Source organism: Homo sapiens, chromosome 16, assembly GCF_000001405.40.
Source record: "Homo sapiens chromosome 16, GRCh38.p14 Primary Assembly".
In the NCBI taxonomy this organism is placed as follows: Eukaryota; Metazoa; Chordata; class Mammalia; order Primates; family Hominidae; genus Homo; species Homo sapiens.
This window is the reverse complement of record NC_000016.10, coordinates 89087471-89111671: the sequence shown is the minus strand read 5'-3', so window position 1 is coordinate 89111671 and position 24201 is coordinate 89087471. Positions and strand designations below refer to the sequence as shown.

Sequence of the window (24201 nt, the reverse complement as noted above, 5' to 3'; positions counted from 1 at the left end):
GTCATGTGAATTTTATATTTTACTCCATAATAAACATTTCTTGCTTACATATAAATACGTTTTAAGTTCCTCACTCGTTAGCGGGTTCTCGCGTCGCCCATAAAGCTTCAGGAAGAGCTGGTGAGCCGCATTCCTTCCATGGCCCTCTCTACCCGCGGTGTTCCACACGGAGCACCGAAGGGTGTGGCGGAGGGAGGAGGGCACTCTTCGTGCTGTGGGGTCAGCACCTAAGGGAGGCCCAGGACACACAGGACAGATCTCGCCCACACGGCGTTGAAACTGGGGTCGACGGATGCCGATGCCACAGTCCAGCCCCAGCCCATCTCATCTCCTCACTGGACTGCAGTGACGAGTGCCTCACCGCAGCTGCCTGGCAGAGAAAGGCAGGAATCTCCGGGGAAGAAATAATATCATTCTTTCAAAGACAAAGACTGGAACCCTTCAAAGTCACAAAGCATGTAAGGACACAAAGATGTGATCCCCAACTGAAGGGAAGAAGTCTCAGGAAATCCAAACGTCCGAATCACCAGACAAGGCCCTTCAAATCACTGCAATAAGCAGATTAAGGAATTTCAAAGAAAAGATGAACAACGTGGGGAAGATGGAGAATTGCAAAGAGAAGTGGAACTGCAAAAAATCATAAAACTGAAAAACACAAGATCCAAAATGAATTCATTCAATAGACCTAATAACAAACAAGACGCAGCAGAAAAGAGGAAAAAAGTCAGACACAGTCAACGGGGGTGATCTAGGCTGACCCACAGACGGGAAAGCAAAGACACAGGCGACCAGAGTGCGGGAGACAGCAGCACCGCGGAGCAGCACCCACAACACTGCCATCGAGGGAGGGAGGGGAACAGATAAGCGGGTGGAGAGAGGCCAGGCTCGCAGACGGGAACACTCCATGTTGTGAAGATGGCAGTTCTTCCCACACTGAGCTCCAGCTTCAAAGCAATCTTCCCAAAATTCCGGCAAGCTTTATTTTGCAGAAATTGATACACTTATCCTACGTTTTACACGAAAAGGCAAAGGACCCAGAAGATCCAAAATAAATTTCAAAAGGCAGATTAAAGGTGAGAACACACAGTTCCCAACTCCAAAACTGACGTAAACCAGAAGTAACGAACACAGTGTGATGCTGTGTAAGATTAGACAAGAGACCCACAAAACACAATGGAGAGTCCAGAAATAAACGAATGCACAGATATCTGGTCAAGTGATTCTTGGCAAAGAAACCAAGTCCCCAATAGGGAAAAGGACAAAAGGATAATCTTTCTCACAAATGGCACTGACACACTGAATATCTCCATGCAGAAGGTGACTCCTAGACCCTACCTCACACCATATGCAAAATTAACCCAAAGTGGGTCAGAAACCTCCACGTATGAGCTAAAACTAGAAAACTTCTAAGAAAAAACAAAAGGGAATATCTTCATGACATGACCTGTGGTTTGGCAAAGACTTCTCAGATGAGATACCAAAAGCACAATCTATAAAGTTTAAAAATTGATAAAATGAATTTATTTTTAAAATTTTTTTTATAAAATGAATTTCATCAAAATTAATGTGTGCTCCAAAAGACACATTAAGAAAATAAAAAGACAAGCTGCAGTTGGAGGAAATATTTGTAAACCGTACATCTGAAAAGAGACTCGTATCCGGAATACACATAGAACTCTTACAACTCAGTAAGAAGACAAACAGCCCAATTTAAAAATGGCCAAAGATTTCATTAGACAGTTCACCAAAGATTACATACGGATGCAAACAAGAACGTAAAAAACAGCACTGGGTGCAGTGCTCATGCCCGTAATCCCGGCACTTTGGGAGGCTGAGGCGGGAGGATCCCTTGAGCTCAGGAGTGTGAGGCCAGCCTGGGCAACATAGGGAGGCTCTGTTTCTGCAAAAATAATTTAAAAGGAAAAAAGTAAAAATAAACACAAAAAATGCTCAACATCTGGCCGGGTGCGGCGGGCTCACGGCTATAATCACAGCATTTTGGGAGGCTGAGGCAGGCAGGTTACTTGAGGTCAGGAGTTCAAGACCAGCCTGGCCAACACGGTGAAACCTGGTCTCTATAAAAATACAAAAAATTAGCTGGACCTGGAGCTGTGCGCCTGTAATCCCAGCTGCTGAGATGGCTGAGGCAGGAGAAGCGCTTGAACCCAGGAGGCGGAGATTGCAGTGAGCCGAGACTGAGCCACTGCACTCCAGCCTGAGCGACAGAGTGAGACTCCATCTCAAAAAAAAAAAAAAAAAAAAAAAAAAGCTTAACATCAGTAGTCATTAGGGAAACGCAAACTGAAGCCAGTGACAAGTGTTGGCAGGACGTAAAGAAATGAAAACTCTCATACGCTGCTGATGAGAACGTACAGCAACACAGCCATTTTGGAAAACAGTTTGCCAGTTTCTTTTCTTTTCTTTTTTTTTTTTTTTTTTTTTGAGACAGTCTTGCTCTGTTGCCCAGGCTGGAGTGCAGTGGTGTGATCTTGGCTCACTGCAATCGCCGCCCCCTGGGTTCAAGCAATTCTCCTACCTCAGCCTCCCGAGTAGCTGGGATTACAGGTGTGAACCACGGTGCCTGGCTAATTTTGTATTTTTAGTATAGACAGGGTTTCACCCTGTTGGTCAGGCTGGTCTCAAACTCCTGACCTCAAGTGATCCACCTGCCTCGGCCTCCCAAAGTGCTAGGATTTCAGGTGTGAGCCACCGTGCCCGGCCAGTTTGACAGTTTCTTAAAACATTAAACAGAAAGTCACCATACAACCCATCAATTCTATCCCTCTGTGTCTATGTAAGATGAATGAATGTCTACAGAGATTTATATGTAAATGTTCATAGCAGCATTATTCATAATAGCTCCAAACTGAAACAGTCCAAATGCCCATCAGATGGTGAATGGATGAGGAAAATGTGGTATATCCATATGATGAAGTACTATTCAGGAACAAGTTATTAATACACACAGTAGAACATGGATGAAACTCAGAACCATCCTGCAAGTGAAAGAAGCTGGAATAAAAGACTGAGTGTGACACGCCCCATTTGCACACGCTGCCATCTCAAACAAGGAAATCCTAGAGGCAGAAAGCAGATTCGTGGTTGCCAGGGGCTGGGAATGGGGGGAAATGGACACTGGTTTGAGGTAATGGCTACTTAATTCAAAATTTACAATAATGAATTTTGCGGTGTGTGAACTGTATCTCGATAGAGCTGTTTTTGAAAAGGGAAGGTGCAATAAAAACATTTTCAGTGAAACAAAATTGAGGGATTTGTTGTCAGCAAAGCTGCACTACAAGAACTATTGAAAAGAAGTTCTCCAGGCTGAAGGGAAACAAGTTGGGGGAAGCACAGTGCTTCGCGGAGAACCTCTGTAGGGACAAATGAAGGCACCAGAAGAGGAGACATGTGGGGAATTTAACAAATTTAAGGACTCCTGATATGGTTTGATGGCATCCCCACCCAAATCTCAACTTGAACTGTATCTCCCAGAATTCCCACGTGTTGTGGGAGGTGCCCAGGGGGAGGTAATTGAATTATGGGGGCCGGTCTTTCCTGTGCTATTCTCATGATAGTGAATAAGTCTCATGAGATCTGATGGGTTTATCAAGGGTTTCCGCTTTTGCTTCTTCCTCATTTTCTCTTGCCACCGCCATGTAAGAAGTGCCTTTTGCCTCCCACCATGATTCTGAGGCCTCCCCAGCCATGTGGAACTGCGAGTCCAATTAAACCTCTTTTTCTTCCCTGTCTTGGGTATGTCTTTATCAGTAGTGTGCACACGGACTAATACAGTAAATTGGTACCAGCAGAATGGGGCTGGGGGCGTATGAAACATGCAGCCACATTTGGGGCTGGGGTGTGTGAAACATGCAGCCACGTTTGAGAACTCTTCCGCAGTTTCCACTGAAATGAAACATACATCTAGCCTGTGAGCCGGCACTGGGAGTTGCGGATCCAAGGGAACTGTCCACAGGGACATCTGTGTGAGAATGTTCATAGCAACCGTGACTTCTAATAGCCACAAACTGAAAACAATCTCAAGTCCTTCAAGAGCAGAATGGATAAGCGCACTGTGGCTTCTGCACACCAGGAAATACAACACAGCAACGTAAAAAGAACAAACTGCATTTGATGTAACACACAGATCAACAGCACAGTGAACCAGAAACACAAACGTGACACTGAGGCACGGAAAACGGAGCACGCGTGTAGCAGGATGGTGCCGAGGCGGGGAGAGCACGCGTGTAGCAGGATGGTGCCGAGGTGGGGAGAGCATGCGTGTAGCAGGATGGTGCTGAGGCGGGGACAGCATGCACGCAACGGGACAAGGCTGAGGGGCAGGGAGCAGGCGCGGAGGTGAAAGACACGAAGGACGGTCTTTCTTGGAATTCATCCAAATCTTCAGAGGGCAGCTGCTGCCCTAAAGAAGGGCACTGAGAGCCGAGGGTGACCTTCTTCCTCCAGCACATCCCAATGTGTTGCCACACTTCCAAGACGTGAAAGACCTGGAGGCCCCCTGAAGGGCGCCATAACATTTGACTAACTAGCAAGTGCTTCTGAGGTGGCAGGAGCAGGCCTGTTGCTCTAACCTGAGCTGCCACAGCACAGACCCTGCCAGATGGCAGCCCTCCTGAGTCCATGCTGCGATCCTGAGGAAGTCGGCCAGGGCAGTGCTGTTGGAGACGAGTGACTGATCTGAGCCTCTGGCTGTCTCGTCAGTGGTGACTTTGATCTCCAGAGGCTGTGGCTGCACATCCATCTTCCGGCATCCTCCTCCTCTCCCCCAACCCCATCCGTCACCTGCAGGCACTGACACCCACGGCCCTCTGTGCAGGATGACTTGAAGACACCGCGTCTGAGATCGTTCAGCACCACCGCAGGTGTCTGGTCACCCCACACTTGTATCCTACACATTCTTCCACACAATCTTAGACAAAATCCCAAAGTTCAATAACGCTGACAGCTGGATTTTACACATAGAAATTCCTAAAGTTGGAAAACCCTGAAACTTGGAGTTTATGGAAAAGAGTTGCAATCCTTTGTAGCCACAGCATCAAATTTGTTTAAATATTAAGTTTTCAGCTGGGCATAGTGGCTTACGTCTGTAATCCCAGCACTTTGGGAGGCTGAGGCAGGTGGATCATGAGGTCCGGAGTTCTAGACCAGCCTGGCCAACATAGTGAAACCCCGTCTCTACTAAAAATACAAAAAATTAGCTGGCTGTGGTGGCAGGTGCCTGTAATCCCAGCTACTCAGGAGGCTGAGGCAGGAGAATCGCTTGAACCCAGGAGGCGGAGGTTGCAGTGAGCCGAGATCGTGCCACTGCACTCCAGCCCGGCTAACAGTGCGAGACTCCATCTCAAAAAAAAAAAAAATTAAGTTTTCACAGCATAGTTTAAAGAAAAATCCCAAGTAAGTGTCAAAAACGGTGAAGGTCTGAGGCTTTCCCGTGTCCGTTGAAGGTCTGAGGCTTTCCCGTGTCCATTAATGAGCCAGTCTGCAGTGTCTGGAAGATGACAGCAGATCCCCAGGCAGAGACCCCAGGGTAGACACTCTCGGAGCAGAAATCCCTGGGCAGACGCCCTTGGGACACAGACCCCAAGGCAGGGACCCCCTGGCAGATGCCCCTGGGCAGAGACGCCGCAGCAGCAGCTCCCAAGCCGTGTGCCTGTGGGCACTGGAAAGGGCCAGGTGGTGTCATTCATGCAGTGCTGGAGAAGCAGCAAGACCAGAAAGCCCAGATCCTTGACAGCTGGCCTGCGCCAGCACCCACACCCACCTGCCTCTCGCCCTGAGGGTAACACACTCTTTACTTGGGAGGATGGAACCAACCTGCCCTCCGGGACGATGGAACCAACCTGCCCTCAGCTCCCTGGGAGATGTTCTGCCTCTGCCCCTGCCAGCTGCATCTCGCCCTGGCACGGTCCACGACAATGGCCGTTGCTGCCTCTGCCCAAGTGACCATGGTAGACCAGCCACCGTCAGCGCCCGGGCAGCCCCCAACAGAGGTTCAGGGCCAGGCTGCCAAGGAGCAGAGGCCAAGGTGGGGCAGGTTGAGGGGGCCCAGTCACAGGCACAGAAACTGACACCCTGGACAGAGCTGACCGCCAAAGGAAAGGAGGAGCTTAAGGCGGAGAGGAGGGAGCTGCCCCGTCAGAGGAGCCCCCAGAGACACAGCAAAGGCATGGAAGTTCCCTACACACCAGGCGCTGCACCACCCACACAGTGCACTCACGGGGAACTCACTGCAGCAAAACCACTTTGACTCAGCAGACGTTCACCAAGGACAGCTGTGTCCATGCAGGGCGCACCCCAGAGAGAGCCGCAAGGAGGGTCGGGTCACTGAGCCAGATCCCTACCAGGGGAGCCAGGAAGGCCTGGAGCAGAGCGCCAGGCAGATGTCTCCGGGATGGACCACGCAGATGAGGCAGCCGCAGTGTCTGCCATCTTAACAGACTGCTGTGTCGCAGCTGGGGTCAGGGCTGAGATGTCTGTGAAAAATAAGGACTGAAGCCAACAAGAATGTGGAATGTGTTAGGGAGACGGGGCCCTCAGGGAGGCTCTTCAGGGGGTGACCCTGGCGACGGGGCCCTCAGGGAGGCTCTTCAGGAGGTGACCCTGGCGACGGGGCCCTCAGGGAGGCTCTGTGGCTACAGGCGTCCTGAAGAGCAGTGGAGGGAGCTGACGGCTAATCACGCAAGTGTGCTGGCAGCCACCTCTCTTTGGCACGGTAGTAACTGCTAGATTTTAAAGAGGTCTTTCTCTAAAGCCCAATGTTATCATCTGTGAAGAAACAGGCTCACTTGCTCGTACAAAGCTGTTCTACATACTGGCTTCTCTTGTGAGACCTTGCCTCCAGTGGAGGCTAGAGAAGAGCCCCTTCTCTTTTCCAAGTTTGTGCCCACTGTGAGCCGGCCTCCAACCTTATTTTCCGGGGATGAGACTGAAGGTCAGAGAGGTGGAGGGCCAGAAAAGCTGCCTTCTCTCCACCTCCAGCCACCGTGTGGGGCTGGATGCCCTGCAGAGAAGAGGATGGGCCTCTCAGCGGCAGGAGAAGCAGAGGGAAGGTGGGCAGGGCTGACTGCTTGCAGGGACCCCTTCCTGGCGAAATTCACACCTGACTAGGGTTTGGGTCCTGAGCTCCCGGTCAGAGGCCTCAGAGCTCCACACAGCCTTCGATGGGGCCAGAAAGACTTCAGACAGGAAGAGTCCTGGCAAGAGCGGTGAGTGTGGGGCCGGCCACTGGTGGCTGCTGTGCTCTGGGCTTTAGGGCTGTGCCTCTGCTGGCCGGGACGTCTGCCCTGCAGAACAACCCCGCACAGACCAAGAGCCCAGTCCCAGGCATCTGGCCTCAGAGATGGGCTCCTCTGTGCTGAGAACCATCATGATACGATCCAAATTCTAAGGGCTTTTCCATACATTCACGTGTTAAACTTTTTTTCCTGTGAATAAAAGGCATATTCATTATACGGGCAGAGGCTGGTAAACGTCCATGGCCTCACCGGAGGGCTCTGCTTCACCACACCTGTGACATACGCACACCGTGTCCTTCCTGTGGGCTCAAGGCCTGCCCCTCATGCCCTCTGCAGCCTGGTGAGTGACTCTTGCCTGCAGTCAGCTAGAATGCACACAGGGCCACAGCAACTCCTAAAAGCCACCGCCATCCCCAACTGACAGGCGAGGCCCGATGCTGTGCACAGGGTCCCGCCTCGAGCCCAGGTCCTTTCCCTCCAAAGCAGCATCCCTGATCTGCCTGGAGACAGCCCTGCACAGGCAAGGCTGCGCGCAGCAGCTCGGCGATGACTGCTCCCACCCCAGCGCTCTGTGTGACCAGCACCGCGTCCTTCCCTCCCTGCCTGCTCCAAGGGAGACGCTACAGAGGAAGCCATGCAGAGAGGGGAGACAGAGACTCCACAGCAGCCCTTCAGCTGGGCCAATACTCCAAAGTAACCCTCCGCAGCAAGCAGCTCTCCAGCTGGGCCAGTACTCTGGAGTAACCGAGGGCTGCCACAGTGGCCACATCATAGCTCAAAGGGTCACGCCCTACGCCCTACACCCCGAATGTGTCACCTCTCGCAGTGGTGGGAACTGCAGGTGGATGAAGCGAAGGACCTCAAGATGGGAGATGATCTTGGAATATCCGCATAGGCTGCACAAAGGGAAGCCGAGGGAGCCCTGACTACGGAGAGAAGGCCGTGTGCCTGCAGAAGCAGAGCTGGACGTGAAGCAGCTGGAGCCAAGGGCACAGGCGGCCTCCAGAGCTGCAAGAGGCAGGAACGGACTTTGCCCTGGAGCCTCCTGACGGAGCAGCCCTACCACACCCAGCATCAGCTCCGCAAGACTCGTCTCAGAATCCTGGCCTCCAAGCATGTAAGAACAAACTCGCATTATTTTAAACCAAGCGCGTGAGCATTCGCCGCAGCCGCAGGAGCTCGCGGGCAGCAGGGCCTGTACAGTCACCTCCGCTCATCCAGTCTCACTATTCACGGTTTCAATGACGCGTGGCCCACTGCAGTCTCACAACAGACGAGCACAGTACCGGAAGGTATTTTGAAGAGAGAGAGCACTTTCACATAACTTGATTACAGTACATGGTTATAACTGTTCTGTTATTGTTAACCTCTTACTGTGCCTAACTTATAAATTAAGCTTTATCATAGGTACGTATGTATAGCAAAAAGCATCGTAGGTACAGGGTTCCATGCTACCCAGGGTCTCGGCATTGGCACGTCCCCTGTGGATAGGGGCGACTGCACACCAGGAAAAGATGCCTAGTCTGAGGGCGCGGCCGAGAGCCCTGACCCCAACCAGCGAAAGGCGCTTAGGCTGAGGGCGCGGCTGAGAGCCCTGGCCCCGACAGGGGAAAGGCGCCTAGTCTGAGGGTGCAACCGAGAGCCCTGACCCCAACTCACCTGCTGAGGGCTGAACTCAGGCATCATCACACAGGTGGCTCCCACCCAGAGAGGACAGAGCAGCGCGTTGACCACACCATGGACGTGGTGCAGCGGGAGCACGTGGAGGATCACGTCGTCTTTGGTCCATGCCCACTTGTGGACCAGCCCGGTCACCTGCAGGGGACGAGAGCACAGCTGAGAGCAAGAGCAAGACTGTGGCCCGCAACAGCACACACAGACCTCGGGCTCACGGAAAGGAGCTCTGGGCCTCCCCACTGAGGAAGGGGAAGGAGAAGGCTGGCTCTTTGTTGCTCCCCTTTAGCAGCCTCTCAAGATGACGACAAAACCACAGCAGATCTGCTGGGTCACTCACTTACCCTGGGGACAGAGGACAGCGCCACACACAGCCAGAGGCTTTAGGGAATTTAGAAGGTCGGGGAGTGGCTCTGCAGACACCAGGTCGACAGAGCTCCGCCCCTGCCCAAGCCTGGGACTCAGGGACCCAGCGCCATTCAGGCTGGAATCGACTCCCAGCCCAACCACTGGCTCAGGTGACAGCACTGCCCACACAGAGCTCTGCCGATTCGTGAATTATCGTCACCTGCTCAGCCGGGACAGAACCCAGGCCAGGCTCCAGAGCACACCCTCAGCTCTTACTGAGAAGCAGCGTGAGGCACGGCCCACTGAATCCTCTGTCCAATCTCACGGAGGACACTGCCTGCTGCCTGCACAGGCTCCAGGGAGAAGCACATGTGCATGTCACTCCCCTCAGCAAGGACAGAGGAGTCCAGAGCCCGTCCCTCCCGACAGGCGCGCCGCTTCCAGGAGTGACGGCGCAGGCCACCCAGGGCCCAGCCTGCTGTGTGCTCATGGCGCCTCGTCAGCCCACGACTCCGTGGGGTACACTTCCTGCCTTCCCCTTCCTGGCTTTTGGTTTTCATTTTTACTTGATTGCTTCAAGTGCATAGGAGACGTTATGACACTGTACAAATGCCAGGTAAGTGATGTGGTTGGAGAGTTCTGTGAAGATGTGACTGAGGTCACAGGACACACAAAAAACGAGTAAGACCCGGGTGTATGTGGGGTCCTGACCACGCATCCTAACACGTGGCTGGCCTCCGAAAAGCCCCTCAGCATCACAGGCAGTGAGTGGTCCCTTCTGACCTCATGCCGCATGGTCCTGGCAGGGTCACTCGGCGGCCCCTCAATCCCTCTACACCTGGACGCTCCCAGAGCCGTCCTGCGTGGCCAGTGAGGCCAGCGGCCACACCCCGAGGGCCTGCGTCCCTGTATCTCACACGGGTCTGCAGGATGGTGACAACTGTGAATGACTCCACAGAAAAGCGAATGAAAAGATGTGCTTCTGGCCCGGAGCCCACCCGGAGTGCTGTGCGGTCACCGAAACCATCACGGCGCCAGGCGGCACTCACCACAGCCCTGATGTTTTGGTGCGTGCTCAGCACGCCCTTGGGCCTCCCCGTGGTCCCACTGGTGTAGATGATCATGGCGCCCTTGTTCCTCCATCCCTGCTCTGGGACCGGGACCTCTGCCGGTTCCTCTACTGCTCCAGTGTAGATGGCTGGTGTGAGCGGCAGCAGCGGGACCCCCAGCTTCCTGACCACCGGGCTCAGGAGCTCCAGGTACTCCTGGCTGGCAAGGACCACAGAGCTCTGGGAGTCGCAGATGACATACTCCAGCTGGGCCGCGGGATGCTTCCTGTAGAGGGGGACTGCCACACCGCCACTCATCCATGACGCCCACTGGGCCACGACGTAGGAGGCATCGTTAGCGCATAGGAAGGAGACCCTCTCCTCCCGGAGGTCCCCGCCGACACACCCGCAGAGCCTGCAGATCTCCTGGGACAGGCGAAGGCTGCGGGAATAAAGCTCCCTGTACGTGTGGCGGCCGTGCTGGTCAACCAGGGCGATTCTGTCCCCAAAGGCCAGGGCACGGGTGAACACCGGGGCGCTCCTGTCCGAGCGGGCCACTGGGGCTGTGTGCAGAAGACCACTTCCTCTGTGTCTCGCAGGCGCCAGCCGGCAGGACGCCAAGGCGCAGCCCAGGCGCCGGAAGGTGAGCACCACATGGGGCAGCATTGCACTGACAGGCGGCCGAGCTGGAGAAAGGCAAGGCACAGGACGTGAGTGCCCAACTGTCCCATCCAAACGTGGCCAAGACAGGATTTAAAACACCTCCCCAGTACCCAGCCAGGTACGCCTGCTGCACCTTCAGTCATGAGGCAGCGCACCAGACAGGCCACGTCCAGCCTTTCTCACCCACACTGCTGGAACGTTCCGTACGTGCCCAGCATCTCAGCTTTCTATTTCACTTCATGAGTTTAAGGATTCCCAAACCACACAAAATTCTAAACAATGAAATAAACTAGGTAAAACCAAGGAGAAGCATATAAAATTCAACACACTTAAGGTACATCTGAATAATGGGTTTTAGAATCCTGAGCCTGGAAAACCACCCGTGAGAGGGGGAAGTGCAGAGAAGAGCTCAGCACAGCCCCCGCTCACAACAGGCATGGCCTGGAGACCCCGCCCCCGGGGCAGACACGGCGCTGCCTCTCTCAGACCCTTCCCACACTGGTGCGCAGTGGAAATGTGGTGAGGTGCCAAGGTTCGTTTTTTTGAGACAGGGTCTTGCTGTGTCGCCCAGGCTGGAGTGTAGTGATGCAATCATGGCTCACTGCAGCCTCGACTTCCTGGGCTCATGCCATCCTGTGGCCTCAGCCTCCCGAGTAGCTGGGCCCACAAGCATGTGATACCACACCCAGCTTTTTTTTTTTTTTTTGGTAGAGACAAGGTCTCACTGTATTGCCCAGGCTGGTCCAAAGTCCTGGGGTTATGGCAGGTGTAAGCCATGCTTTTTTCCTTCTTTTCTTTTCTTTCTCTCTCTCCTCTCTCTCACCTTTTTTTCCTTTCTCTCTCTCTCTTTATTATCTATCTGGGATGGAGTCTCACCCGCTCTGTCTATCTATCTATCTATCTAAGATGCAGTCTTGGTCTGTCACCCAGGCTGGAGTACAGTAGTGTGATCTGGGCTCACTGTAACCTCCGCCTCCTGGGTTCAAGTGATTCTCCTGCCTCAGCCTCCTGACTAGCTGGGATTATAGGTGCGCACCACCATGCCTGGCTAATTTTTGTATTGTTAGTAGAGACGAGGGGTTCACCATGTTGACCAGACTGGTCTCCAACTCCTGACCTCCGGTGATCCACTCACCTTGGCCTCCCAAAGTGTTGAAATTACAGGTGTGAGCCACTGCACCCAGCCAAGCCAAGCTTTAAATCAGGCAATTCACAGAGCTAGAAAACGTGTTTTAGGTTGAACTATAATTCTCTCCTTTCCCCCCAAAAACTTAACTACTAAATAACAAATAAATCAGCAGGAAGCGAGGGCTCCCTGGGAGGGGTCGCGCGGGCCCGCCGTCCACTGGAATTCTTCATTCAGAGAAAGGAGACCGAGAAGAAGCCAGGGTGCCTCCGCCTGTGGGCCCAACGCTCCTGACGCGTGAGGGCTGGTCCAATTCTGCAACATGCATTCTGCAGCCAGAGGACACTGCCCACGGGACACCGCCCCAGGATGCGGACACAGGCCAGGGGCACAGCCCCCGCATTCCAGAGCGAGAAGAAGGGGTGGCACTCTCCACGAGGCTCCTGCATCCCTGGCCCTTTATAATCAAAGCTTTGCTCGACTCACAGTAAGAATAGGCTGGTCTGCCTCCCTTCCTGGGGGAAGCACCCTCTGGGCTCTGCTGCCACTGGGCACTCAGCGGCCCTCGGTCTGACAGCGTCCCAGGCCTGTGGCCGAAGCGTAGTCAAGTTGTCCGTTTGGTTTTCAGGGACTTTGAACAAGTATTATTTTGACAATGATGCTACCGTCTAATACACACATATTAGGTTAGGTTTCATCTCAGCATTTTGCCTCAACCACACTCTGTTCAGTAAACAAACAAGGCAACCACTTGTTCGCACACAGAAAAGCAAAGGAGGCCAAGTTCAAACTCACCCAGCTCCCGAGCCAGAGAGAGGAGGTAAGGGGAAGTTCGCAGTTCACAAGAGCGGCAGGCACAGCTGCTTCAGCAGGTGGAAGGGCACGATAAGGTGCAGGCAATGCAAATGCTCATCCTCCTGGGGCAGGCACCAGGCCTGGCGCTGGAACCCGGAAGGCCGGTGGGACACCTGTCAACGGGCATCTGTGCTGAGGTCCCAGGCTGTGTGTATAACGCTTCCCACAGGCACAACACTCAACACTCAATGGGGGAAGGGAAGCATGTTCATTTACAAGCTAAAGACAACATTATCAAATAAAGCTGTGAGCCTTATCTCCCGACAACGGGCAGCAGTGACCCCATGACCCTGTCGAGTCTCCTCCCACACACCACGCCCCCTCTGTGGGATCTGTGCCCATGTTCAGCAGGTTCTCTCTCTCCAGCACATCTCTTTCATTAACTTGTGAGGGGAAAGCTACTGTGTTATTGTCTGTGGTTTGTACTAAACAGTTTTGTTTTCTGCTCTTAGTTTGAAACCGTCACAACACTTCATAGTTGTCTAACAAAACAAACTTCATGACAATGAAAATTGTCAGAGCCAAAGTATGTTTTGTGCTTGAGACCCTCAACTACTGGCCTTGGTTTTTGCTTGTTTGATTTGGGTGTCTGGTTTCCCCACTAGCCTGGGGCTCTTTTGTTTTTTTTTTGAGACGGAGTCTCGCTCTGTCACCCAGGCTGGAGTGCAGTGGCACGATCTCGGCTCACTGCAAGCTCCGCCTCCCAGGTAGCCTGGGGCTCTTAATGAAGTCCCCTGTCCCAGCCAGCTGAGGGATCTCCTGCCTCTGGCCCAGGCAGGAGGAAAACGAGCCACGCAGGGCCCTGAACCTCAGCACAGCTCCGCGGGCTGCTTGGACGTCCTGTGTGAGTCTTCTCTGAATCCTACCAAACGGTCAGTCCTGCAGGCCACATCATCTCCTGACGCGAGGCACCCATGTTCTAGAAGCCCTCCACAGCTGTTCAGAGGCAGGGCAGTGGCTGGTCCGCCCACACACCTGGACTCTGCTACCATAGAGAAACCCAGAGAATGGCAAGAAAACAACTGGGCTTCACCAGACACAAGACACGAGATCGGCACGTGGGCTGTGCCAGCTTCAGAAAGCAGCAAACCAGGGCGGCCCCACCACGCTTCCTTCCTCACTTCCAACCGATCCTGCACTGCTTTACAGGTGTGAGGGCACAGAAACAAGGAGAATCCACACACAGAAAACCGACTGGGCACTGGGTGCTCTGGGTTACGGCCCCGAGGCCAGACTTCCGCTGCTGAGAGCCACAGGGAGTGCCTTGGGTGCTCGGAGCAGGGGACGGTGCTTTCTGGGGTGCTAAGGAGCGGAGCACTAGGACGGCCGGCGACACTCACTCAATATAGAAGGTGCCTGTCATTGTGTGTAGCTGTTTCTCAATATGACAGAAGCACATAAAAGGGGGATGACGGCTTCCCTCTAACTAAAGCTGCTGCTCAGAAAAGGTTTCTGCAGACCACAAAGAACCGAGTTCTGACAAAGCGAGTTCAAGCTCGTGCTGTGCACACGGTAACCACACGCTGAGCACACGCTAACCACACGCTGAGCACACACAGCACACACTACCAGAGCACAGCCCCCCTTTTGGCATTTCTACAAATTCCTGAGTCACCCCGCAGGGCGAAGCCACGGAAGAATAAGAGTGGATTCCCCACAAAACCCAGAGCTCAGCAGAGCTGGTGATGCTGACGTGCACAGCTGGGCTGGGCAAACTCAAAGTGCAGGCTGAGAAGAAACTGCTGTTCTCCTGCGCGGAATCCAGAGCGCTGCCTGTGGGTGGGCACTCCTGCCACCAGCCCCTGGGAGGTGACAGATGTGACTGGCCCCGTGTGACATGGTCCCAGCTCCCAGAGAGCCCACGCGCTATGAGGAGAGGCCACGGGCAGGAGGAACGGACGGGGGCCTGGTGGGGAGGCTTCCTATGGAGGGTGAGAAGGGCCTGGCCTAGCCAGAGTCGGCCGAGGGAAGGGGGGAGTCCTGGCACCTACAGCTGTGTTCACTCGGGGTGTCTAGGGCACAGATGCCGGGAAGTCACATTGCTGGGTCATCTTTAATTTTGAGAAATACTGACAAAGTCCCCTCCAACGAGGTGCTGATTTATTCTCCCACCAAGCATGTGGAAAACGGAACCAGCCCCATCAAACCAGCTTTTCAGTCCCTCAGGCTTGGGACAATGAAGTGCCCAGTCATCAGTTCTCTTCAGCACAGAGGTTGAATCTTCACGGTCATCGGATCAGAGCCCTGCCTCGAACACGCAGACAGAGCCTACTCAGGGCAGATGGCTGTGCGCGGTCTTCCTGCACACCTCCCGGTCCAGAGGCACCCCAGCTTCCTCAGAGAGAACCTCACCTTTCAACCACTGGGACCCCTTCTACCGTGGGGCTCCCCATCACCACCAGGAGCACAGTGTGGAGGGACACTGCCCACCAGACAAATGCAGTTCAGTCAGGGGCTTCCACCCTCAGCCAGCTTCATACCCCTGCTACGCAGCACCCTGATAACCCGAGGTCAGCGGCGTCACCACGTGGCTGGGCAAGGACTCTAGTCAGAAGCTGAGAAAGGTGCCTGAGCCAGGACAGCCTCCTTGGTGAAGGCGTACTGGAACCACTGAAAACAGTGGCTCTCCAGCCCTCGGGGAGGGAGGCAGGACCTCTCGGTGTTCTAGCCATCAGGTTCTGAGATCAGACCACTAAGGCACTGGGGCTTCTCGGGAACACACATGCAGCGCAGCGGGATGCATCTTTTCCCTCCTAACTGGAGTGCTGGTTAATGGCAGAGTTAGTCACCACAGGCTTCGACTTGAACGGCTGCTGCCTTTGTCCTCATTTCCTCACTGGCCTAGCCCTTCACTTCCCACCGCTAAGATGGCACAGTAACAAGACCTGCCTCACAGGCTTCACGTGAGAATGTACGAATGGCCCGGCACAGGCCAGGCAGAAGACAAACGGCCGCGCCGTGCTCAGCAGGGTGCTCCCCATGGAGCCTCGCAACAAAAATTACTAGATGAGAATGACACTCGCATTCAAATGAAGGGCTGCTTTCAACATGAATAAAACGACACCTGACCTGTTCACCACCACACCTGACACCCCCGCCCCCCCAGACCTTGTGTTTGAAGTGGATGCCGGCACTTCCTCCTGTCGGCTGCCCCGATGAGAGCGTGGGGCAGAGGAGGGCTGTGCTCGGCCTGCGGGGCAGGATGCGTTTCAGCATCACACCTGTGGTTTGGAGGGTTATTTTCAAAATTACATTTTTAAGTAACAGACATTCACATTGCATTCATGAGCAGTACATTCAAATAAAAAAAACCAAAAAGGAAAAATACACTTGAAACCCATATCCATTTTAGGAAGAAAAATACTATTTTAAAAATGCCATCTGGAAAGGTGACACTTACAACTATCCCAAGCCCACAGTTTAATCCGCCATTTCTGTCTGCCTTGAGGAGATGGTTCAGAGCCAAAGGAGCAAGAGCAAGGGAAGCCTCATCTTATGTCCTCCAACACCTGCGGAGAGGACACCAGCCTGAGCCAGGCTTCACGCTACAAAGCTCGCAGGGTCCCCAGGGTCCACCGGTAGTAACACCCGTGCTCCTGGGTCCACCATGTGAACCCCCTCCTCAACAAGGTCTCAGCCTTGGGCCCTAACACGAATGTCTGTCCTCCCAGGATGGGAAAGCAACAACTATGCCCCAGACACAATTCGTGTTCCTATCTCTAAACGTGTTCCCTTTCTAGCAAATTCCTAATCATTCTTCCAAGCCCAGTTCAAATATCACCTCTTCTTTTTCAGTTTTATTATTTATTGAGACAGTGTCTTGCTCTGCCACCTAGGCTGGAGTGCAATGGTGCTGTCATGGCTCACTGCAGCCTCCGATTCCTGGGCTCAAGAAATCCTCGTGCCTCAGCCTAACCAGTAGCTGGAAGTGCAGGTGTACGCCACCACACCCAGCTAATTTTTACATTTTTTTGTAGAGATAGGGGTCTCACCATGTTGCCCAGGCTGGCTTTGAACTCCTGGCCACAAGTGATCCTCCTGCCTCTGCTGCCCAAAGCGCTGGGATTACAGGCATGAGCCACTGCACCTGGCCTGCCTGGTGGAATTTAGACTCAGGACAGCAACATCAACTCCTGACTGCACCGGGCCTCACCCCTTTAAACCTTCCCTCTCTCCAGGGAATGGGCTGCCTGCAGTACCTTCCAAATACTTCACGGCCGGCCGCACGTCTCCATTGCTTGCTCATAGATCTACATGCCCTCAGGGGCTAGGCCGGCTGTGAACCTGTGCCCCACGCGCCCAGCAAGGTGCACGCAGCAAACAACTAAAACGGGGAGTACTTCAAGGGTGACTTCTGAAGCCCAATGAGAAATGGAAGTGAATTTATTCCAAACACAACCAAAGACGATTCGTTCTGAGGATGCCTGAACACGGACCCCGCCGGCTCGACGGTATCACCGGGCCCGGCGTCCGCACAGCTTCTCTCCCCGCACCCCGCGCGGGGGCCCCGCTCCCCACCGGACACGAGAGGCTCGGCGTCCCGGGAAGGCCGACGCCCGGCCCCAGGCGGCTCGCGGGGAAGCGACCGCGCCACGGGCCACGGCTCAAGCCCAGCTGCGACCCAGGGGCGGGCGCCGGAGCCCGCGCCCCCGAGAGCTCTGCGCCCGGCCGACCCCGCCGCGGTCCCGTGGGCCCCGCCGCCCGCACCTACGAGACGGCCGCGGCCACGGGGCAGGATCTGCCTCGCCACAACTCTTCCTCGTCCTCCGCCGCGCGCGCGCCGGGGTCGGGCCGGGTTCCGGCCGGGTCCCGCGGGGTCGTGAGTCGGGCCGGACCAGTTCCGGCGCCCAACAGCTTCCCCGGCGCGGCGCGTCCGTCGCCCAAGCGCGTCCCCCCGGCGCGGCGCCGTGGCGGCGGGTTCCGGGCGCGCGTGTTCCCCTGTCCCGCCCGTCCCGTCGTGGCGGGGTCGGGGCCGCGGGCGTCTCGTGAGCCGTGGCCGAGGCAAGGCGCCGTGGTCTCCGCTAGCCCAGGGCTGCCCAGATCAGAACGGCGCGCGGGACCACTCCCAACGCGGATTGCTGGGCCTCGCCCCGTCCTCCCAAAAGGGGCTCTCTGGGCTTTGCGGCTGGGGGTCTGCACGCTGAGCTCCTGGGTGATTTTATTATTATTATTATTGTTGTTACTTTTTCTTATTATTATTATTATTTTGAGATGGAGTCTCGCTCTGTCGCCCAGACTAGAGTGCAGTGGTGTGATCTCGGCTCACCGCAACCTCCGCCTCCCGGGTTCAAGTGATTCTCCTGCCTCAACCTCCCAATTAGCTGGGACTACAGGCGCCCGCCATCATGCCTGTCTAATTTTTGTATTTCTTGGGTGATTTTAAACGGACCGCATTTGAGAATCTCTCCTCGAAGGGACTTGGGAACCAGGATACGAATATGAAGCGAGACTGTTGGATGGACAGTGGCGGAAAACATTTAAAGCCAAACACAAAGTCCAGTTGGCTGAAATTTGAGGGTTTTTCCCCTAAAATGAATACTAATAACACAAAGACATGTACTGGCAAACAGTAGTACAAATTATCTGCAGAACCGTCCTGGTGTGATGGCTCACGCCTGTAATCCCAGCACTTTGGGAGGCCGAGGTAGGCAGATCACGAGGTCAGGAGTTCAAGACCAGCCTGACCAACATGGTGAAACCCTGTCTCTCCTAAAAATACAAAAATTAGCCGGGAGTGGTGGCAGGTGCCTGTAATCCCAGTTACTCGGGAGGCTGAGGCAGGAGAATCTCTTGAGCCTGGGAGGTGGCGACTGCAGTGAGCTGAGATTGCGCCACTGCACTCCAGCCTGGGCAGCAGAGTGAGACTGTCTCAAAAAAAAAAAAAAATTATCTGCAGAACCTTGCACAGTTTTTTTGTAAGTGTATTATTTTCCATGCCCATCTTCCTCTCTTGTGATGATTGCTGGGGCAGCAGTTGTGTCCTTGGAAAGCTCAGGAAAGGGCACTTCAGGAGCCCGAGGATGGTTTTCCTGGGAGGAAGGAGCTGGATCTGGGGGAAGTTTGTAACACAGAGCGTGGGAGAACAAACCCAAACTTCTAGTGCCTCTGGTTGCCACCCTGCTAGGTATCATGCAGAAAAAGCAAGTCCAACCCTCTGCCACTGGGACAGGCTTGATCTGGTGTCAGAATTCTGTCTGCTTCCAGGACTCAGCAGGCTGAATGGTGTTTCCGACGAGGGCAGTAGGAAGAGTAAGGAGGGCGTCTAACATCAGGATTCAGCCCCAGGACGTGTGTGCGCAAATTTCTATCCCTGGGAAGTTGAAGAGCTCAGGCTGCGTCACCCACCTAGAGACAGGACTTGGGACAGGGTGACAGCTCCCGTGGTCCTTGGCCATGGCTCTGTGAGGGTGGCAGTGGGGGGAGGGTGCAGTCTCCGAGAAATGGCCCAGTCATCCTATGAGCAGGGGTCCCATCTGTGCCTCGGCTCTGGTCAGCATCATAGTGGCAGGTGGGAAGCAGGAGCAGTCAGGGATTAGCAGACATTGGAGGACAGCCTCTAGCCAGAGAGACGTGGGCTGAAACAACCAGCAGAACAACTGCAGGCAGCCAGGCTGTGCAGAGTGAAGAGACCCCCAAAACCACCCCCTGTTAATACCCTCAGGGAGACAAGGGAAGCGACAGCCCCCATGAGTCCAGAGCGAGATGCCCCGAGAAAGAGCGTTCCAGTAACATAAAGGGGGGCTGGAGGGGTCAGAATACAACAGCCTGAGTAAAAACCCTAAGGGAAGGGCTAAAGGACGTCTCCTAGAAATAGAACAGAAAGACCGAGAGATGAAAAACAGGAGAGGAAAGATAAAAAAATCAGTGGGCTCAGGCAGGCATCCAATATGCTAAATACGGTAGTTTCAGGAAGGGAGGGCAGAGAAAACAGAGAGAAGTCAGCTGTCAGGTAAACTCGTGGACATTAGCAGACGAAGGGCTGCAGAACATCCAGCGCAGGGAGTGAAAGTGGCCGCACCAACCAGGCAGACGACGTCAATGTAGTTTAGAACATGTGGACAGGGAGGGTCCTAAGTGCCCACCTGGCATCTCACTGGGACATCCAAGAGACATCAGACCCCGATGTGGCCCCAGAGGAGCTCAGGTCTCCCCCGCAGCAGCGCCCCCACCCTCACACTTTGCATCTCACCCTCGATCCTGGGGTTCAGTCTATGGCTCCCTGCTTCCCTCCCACACCACATTGAGTCCTACTGGTTTCTCCTGCAAATTCTGTCAGAGACTGTCCCACCAGCGCTGCTGTAACCACCCAGACCAGGAAAGCCTTGTTTCCTAAAGGAGTCCTCACTGGATTCATGAAGAACCCAACAGTGGCTGGAGTAGCCCCATTAAAACCTGAGTGGGATCCTGCTCAGAACCCACAGGGGGTCCTGCCCAAGCCCTGTTGTGGCCACCAGGTCCCCGAGCCCCGCCCTCCTCCCCTCTGGCCTTGTTTCCTGTGACTCCCGGGAGTCCTGGCCTGGCAGGCAGGGGCAATCCCCCCGCGGGAAGATGGTGGACAGAGTGTCCTGTGTGTTTACCATGTTGAGAGGAGACTTGAACAATGCAAGCAAAGTTTAGGGATAGATGATCAATACATAGAAAACTAATCAAGAAAAATAAGGCAGAGATTAAACACTGGGAACACAGGAAGATGTGTTTGCCAGCAAAGGGCACGTGATCATGTTGCTGTAGGAGGCTCCGCTGTCCATAGCATTTACTAAACTACGATCATTTCAACATCTACAGTGTAACCATCAGCATGCAAAACTGCCGCTGATCGAACGAGTTTATCGCAGACGACGGGAGGGACCCGGGGTGGAAGGTGTGTGGTGTGGCCTGGGCAGGCCTGGCAGGAGACCACAGGAACCTCCAGGGGGTAAACACCAAGAGAATCAGAACAAAGGTTCACCTCTGGTGAGCAGGAAGGGGAGGGTAGTTCTTTAAACTTTGTGGACGTACAACTGATAAGTATAAAAGTTAAACTACACTATGAAATAGTTTTTAGAGGAAGAGGAAAGGAAACACTCCAGGTGACCACGTGAACTCGGCCACTTTCAGCTGGATTCTTGCCCCTGTTCCCTAAATAAACCAAGAGGATTCCGGGAAGTCGCCTTCCAGCAGGTGCATGTCATGGAGAGGAACAAGATGACTCTCCATGGGCCAAGCCTTATCATCGTGCCACCAGCTGCTACTGTCTAATACCAGACACGGAACACCCCCACGGCCTCTCCTGGCCTCCTGCCTTTCAGGAGACTCGCTGGCAGGAGTGTCTGTGCAGGTGCAAATGTGCCCTCAGGCACGTTCCCAGCACGAGGGTGCAGGTGGGAGGAGAAATACGTGCCGTGTGGTGATAAGCACAAGAGTGCTGCAGGAGCACACGGCCAGGACTTCAGACACGAGTGCCAGGGCCCCTCTCTGCGGTGCATGGAGCTGGGCTCTGAGGGCAGTGACAATGACTCTCGGGCAAAGGATTGCATTGTGCCGTTTTACGAATGAGGAAACTGAGGCTCGGGGAATTGATGTCACTTGTCCATGCTTACGTACCTAGAAAGCGGCCGAGCTGGGATTTGAAACCAGAATTTGGCATCCTTTACCCCCACCCCTGCCCCCAGACATGCCTCTCTTTGCATCGCTGTGAGATTCAATGAACAAATGACACCCCCCTCTGCTGAAAACCAAACTTTTCTGCATGCAACACCAGACCAACTCCTTCATAAAGAACAAATGATCTGCAAAGCTGGATCCTCAATGATGTTTGTGCCAGGGTGGTTTACAGCAGCCACAAATCAGGAAACAGCCTGGATATCCCAGCACAGACTTTAGTGAATCAGGAGATGGCCAAATAAGAGCGGCTCTGCAGCCATTAATCATGACGCCAAATAGAAACGTGGGAATTGTGTATGACGGTCTAATGTTGAATGAGAACCTCAAACTTAAAAATCAGCACACGAAGTTATCTGTGCACTGGGATCCCCAACTCTGCGGAAAGAAGGTCTGCAGGACCCCATGGAAGGGGATGCAGCTGCCTCCAAAGAGAACTCTTGCCTGGCTCCCAGCTCAGCCTTGTGGCACTGCCCACTGCAGCCTCCGGGCCTTGGCTTGGCGGGGAGCTGGCCCCCACGTGAAAGGGCTTTGAGCTAGGGAGGTCTAGGAGCCCCAGGGACTCACTGCTCCTGGGGCTCTCTGTGGCCCTCTCGCCTGTTCTTTGAGTTCAGGATCCGATCCTCAGAGGAGAGGTGCCCTGGGGAGGGGCCTTGGGCGGGGGGGCCCCCGAATGGGTGAGATGCTGCATGTCTTGGTCCTGACTGCTCAGCCCGCTCCTGCTTCCAGCCGGGAGCTCCCTGTGTTCCTCCTCCCGGTTGCCCCTCCCCTGCAACTACGAGGGGGTAGTAACAGCTCCCACCTCAGGAGTGCGGTGAGGAGTCGAGAGCCAGGCCAATGAGGCTGTCGGTGAATATTAACTGCTACTCTTTCTCGCTCCTGTCATTTTTAGCATCTCCATCCCCAGCCCCTGAAGCAGATGCTCAGGGAATGGATGTTTCGCCGGTGAGCAGACAGCGTCTGCAGCCACTGCAGCCTCTGCAAGAGGTGCGTGGTTTCCGTGGACCCTTCCAGGAGCCAGCCATACCTCCTTGCCTGACAATGTGGGCATAGCTCAGCCTGCCCCAAGGTGCCCCCGTCCACCCCCAGCCTTTCCCGGAGGAAATCCTCCCAGCTGGAGGCCCCTGGAAACTGGCAGAGGCCAGGTGGGAATCACAAACCCCCAGCTCCCTGATGCAAACACCACCCCTCCCTGATTCAGTAGCCCCACTCTCTGATCCAAACCCCCTCCCTGATTCAATCACCCCCTCCCTGATCCAAACCCCCTCCCAGATTCAGTCACCCCCTCCCTGATCCAACCCCCCTCCTTGTTCAGTCACCCCCTCCCTGATCCAACCCCCCTCCCTGATTCAGTCACCCCCTCCCTGATCCAACCCCCCTCACTGATTCAGTCACTCCCACCCTGATTCCGTTCACACCTCCGGCTTAATGGGGCCCCCTGGAAACTGGCATAGGTTGGGTGGGAATCACCACCCTCCTCCCTGACCCAATCACCACTCCCTTCCCCGATTCAATCATCCCCTCCCCGATCCAATCTCCCCCGCTCCCTGACTCAATCACCCTCCTTCCTTGATTCCGTTCACACCTCTGGCCTAATGGAGCTCCCTGGAAACTGGCAGAGGCTGGGTGGGAATCACCACCCCGCCACGGATTCTGTCCACATCTCCCTTAATGAGCCCCCTGGAAACTGCTGGGGGCGTGTGGGTCACACCTTTTCATTTGATTAAAGGAAAACACGGATCTGCCTGGCAGTGTTTGCTCACAAAGGTGCTTCTGTGAGCTGTGAACACACTGCCCTCCCACTGCAGGCTCTGCGGCAAGCTGACCGGGGAGTGGTGGTGGTGGGAGGAAGGGATCCCCCTGGAAGGACCCATATATGATTTGCTCGTCAGCAGCCACTCAAGGTGGAGGCCCAGGGCCCCGCGATGGGGTCAGGCGAGTCTAGGTTGACCCTGCCCGTGGCTGCTGGCCTCCAGGATGGCCCTGGGGGACCCTGCCTCCTGGTGTCTGTCCCGTACTGAATGAGGCTGCCCTGTGTCGGCAACAGGAGGCTGAAGGGATGGCTGTGTGTGACTTCTCGGGGGGTGGTTCAGCTTCCTTCTTGCTGCCTCTTGTACCACACACTCAGGGAGGTGGCTGCTGTATCATGAGGTCACTCAAGCAGGCGTGTGGAGAGGCCTACATGGTGAAGAGCAGACGCCGCTTCAGAAGCAGCTCTTTCAGCTCCGGTCAAGCTTCAGATGAGGCTGCAGCCCCACAACACTGTGGTTGCAACCTCAGGAGAGACCCCGAGCCAGAGCCACCCAGCCAGGCTGCTTCTGGATTCCACATTTACAGAAACTGTGACATAATAGATGTTCATTGTTTAAGCCACTAGGTTTCGCGGTAATTTGAAGACAGCAATAGAGAACGAATACACTGCCTCAGCCAGTTAGTAGCTGCATGATACTGGGAAACTCATCTCTCTGAGCCTCAGTTCCTCACCTGAAGATAAGAGCACCTGCTGCTAATGGATGTTATAAAAATTAAATAAGGGCCGGGCATGATGGCTCATGCCTGTGATCCCAGCACTTTAAGAGGCTGAGGTGGGCAG

At 54.5% G+C, this 24201-nt stretch overlaps 1 protein-coding gene across 7 annotated transcripts in view, besides 5 other annotated features; it reads right to left on the bottom strand.

Annotated features, from left to right (window-relative positions):
- Positions 1–17820, bottom strand: part of ACSF3 (acyl-CoA synthetase family member 3) — a 62382-nt gene extending 44562 nt beyond the window's left edge. For 4 of the 7 annotated variants that reach the window (NR_147928.2, NR_104293.2, NR_147929.2 and 1 more), the window contains exons 1-4: positions 17676–17820; positions 12909–13081; positions 10325–11010; positions 8913–9068 (exon numbers count right to left, since the gene is read on the bottom strand). Coding sequence is in view for 4 of the 7 variants with exons in the window: in NM_001243279.3 (NP_001230208.1) it covers positions 8913–9068; positions 10325–10990 (822 nt within the window). In the remaining 3 variants the exon portion in view is untranslated. The remainder of the gene's footprint in view (positions 1–8912; positions 9069–10324; positions 11011–12908; positions 13082–17675) is intronic. The other 3 variants (NM_174917.5, NM_001127214.4, NM_001284316.2) reach the window with 3 other exon arrangements.
- Positions 6346–6395: an enhancer, noted in NCBI's record as "active region_11394". NCBI's record gives its function as "activates an Ori minimal core promoter by ATAC-STARR-seq in GM12878 lymphoblastoid cells {active_cell/tissue: GM12878}" and the evidence as "EXISTENCE:reporter gene assay evidence [ECO:0000049][PMID:35858748]".
- Positions 15648–15817: an enhancer, noted in NCBI's record as "experimental_46375 CRE fragment used in MPRA reporter constructs". NCBI's record gives its function as "activates a minimal promoter by MPRAs in K562 erythroleukemia cells, with activity observed for the non-introgressed 16:89162348 variant allele {active_cell/tissue: K562}" and the evidence as "EXISTENCE:reporter gene assay evidence [ECO:0000049][PMID:34662402]".
- Positions 17037–17226: an enhancer, noted in NCBI's record as "active region_11393". NCBI's record gives its function as "activates an Ori minimal core promoter by ATAC-STARR-seq in GM12878 lymphoblastoid cells {active_cell/tissue: GM12878}" and the evidence as "EXISTENCE:reporter gene assay evidence [ECO:0000049][PMID:35858748]".
- Positions 17647–18056: a silencer, noted in NCBI's record as "silent region_7892". NCBI's record gives its function as "represses an Ori minimal core promoter by ATAC-STARR-seq in GM12878 lymphoblastoid cells {active_cell/tissue: GM12878}" and the evidence as "EXISTENCE:reporter gene assay evidence [ECO:0000049][PMID:35858748]".
- Positions 23168–23667: an enhancer, noted in NCBI's record as "H3K4me1 hESC enhancer chr16:89154413-89154912 (GRCh37/hg19 assembly coordinates)". NCBI's record gives its function as "activates a minimal SCP1, AML or CMV promoter by ChIP-STARR-seq in naive H9 embryonic stem cells {active_cell/tissue: H9 hESC(naive)}" and the evidence as "EXISTENCE:reporter gene assay evidence [ECO:0000049][PMID:30033119]".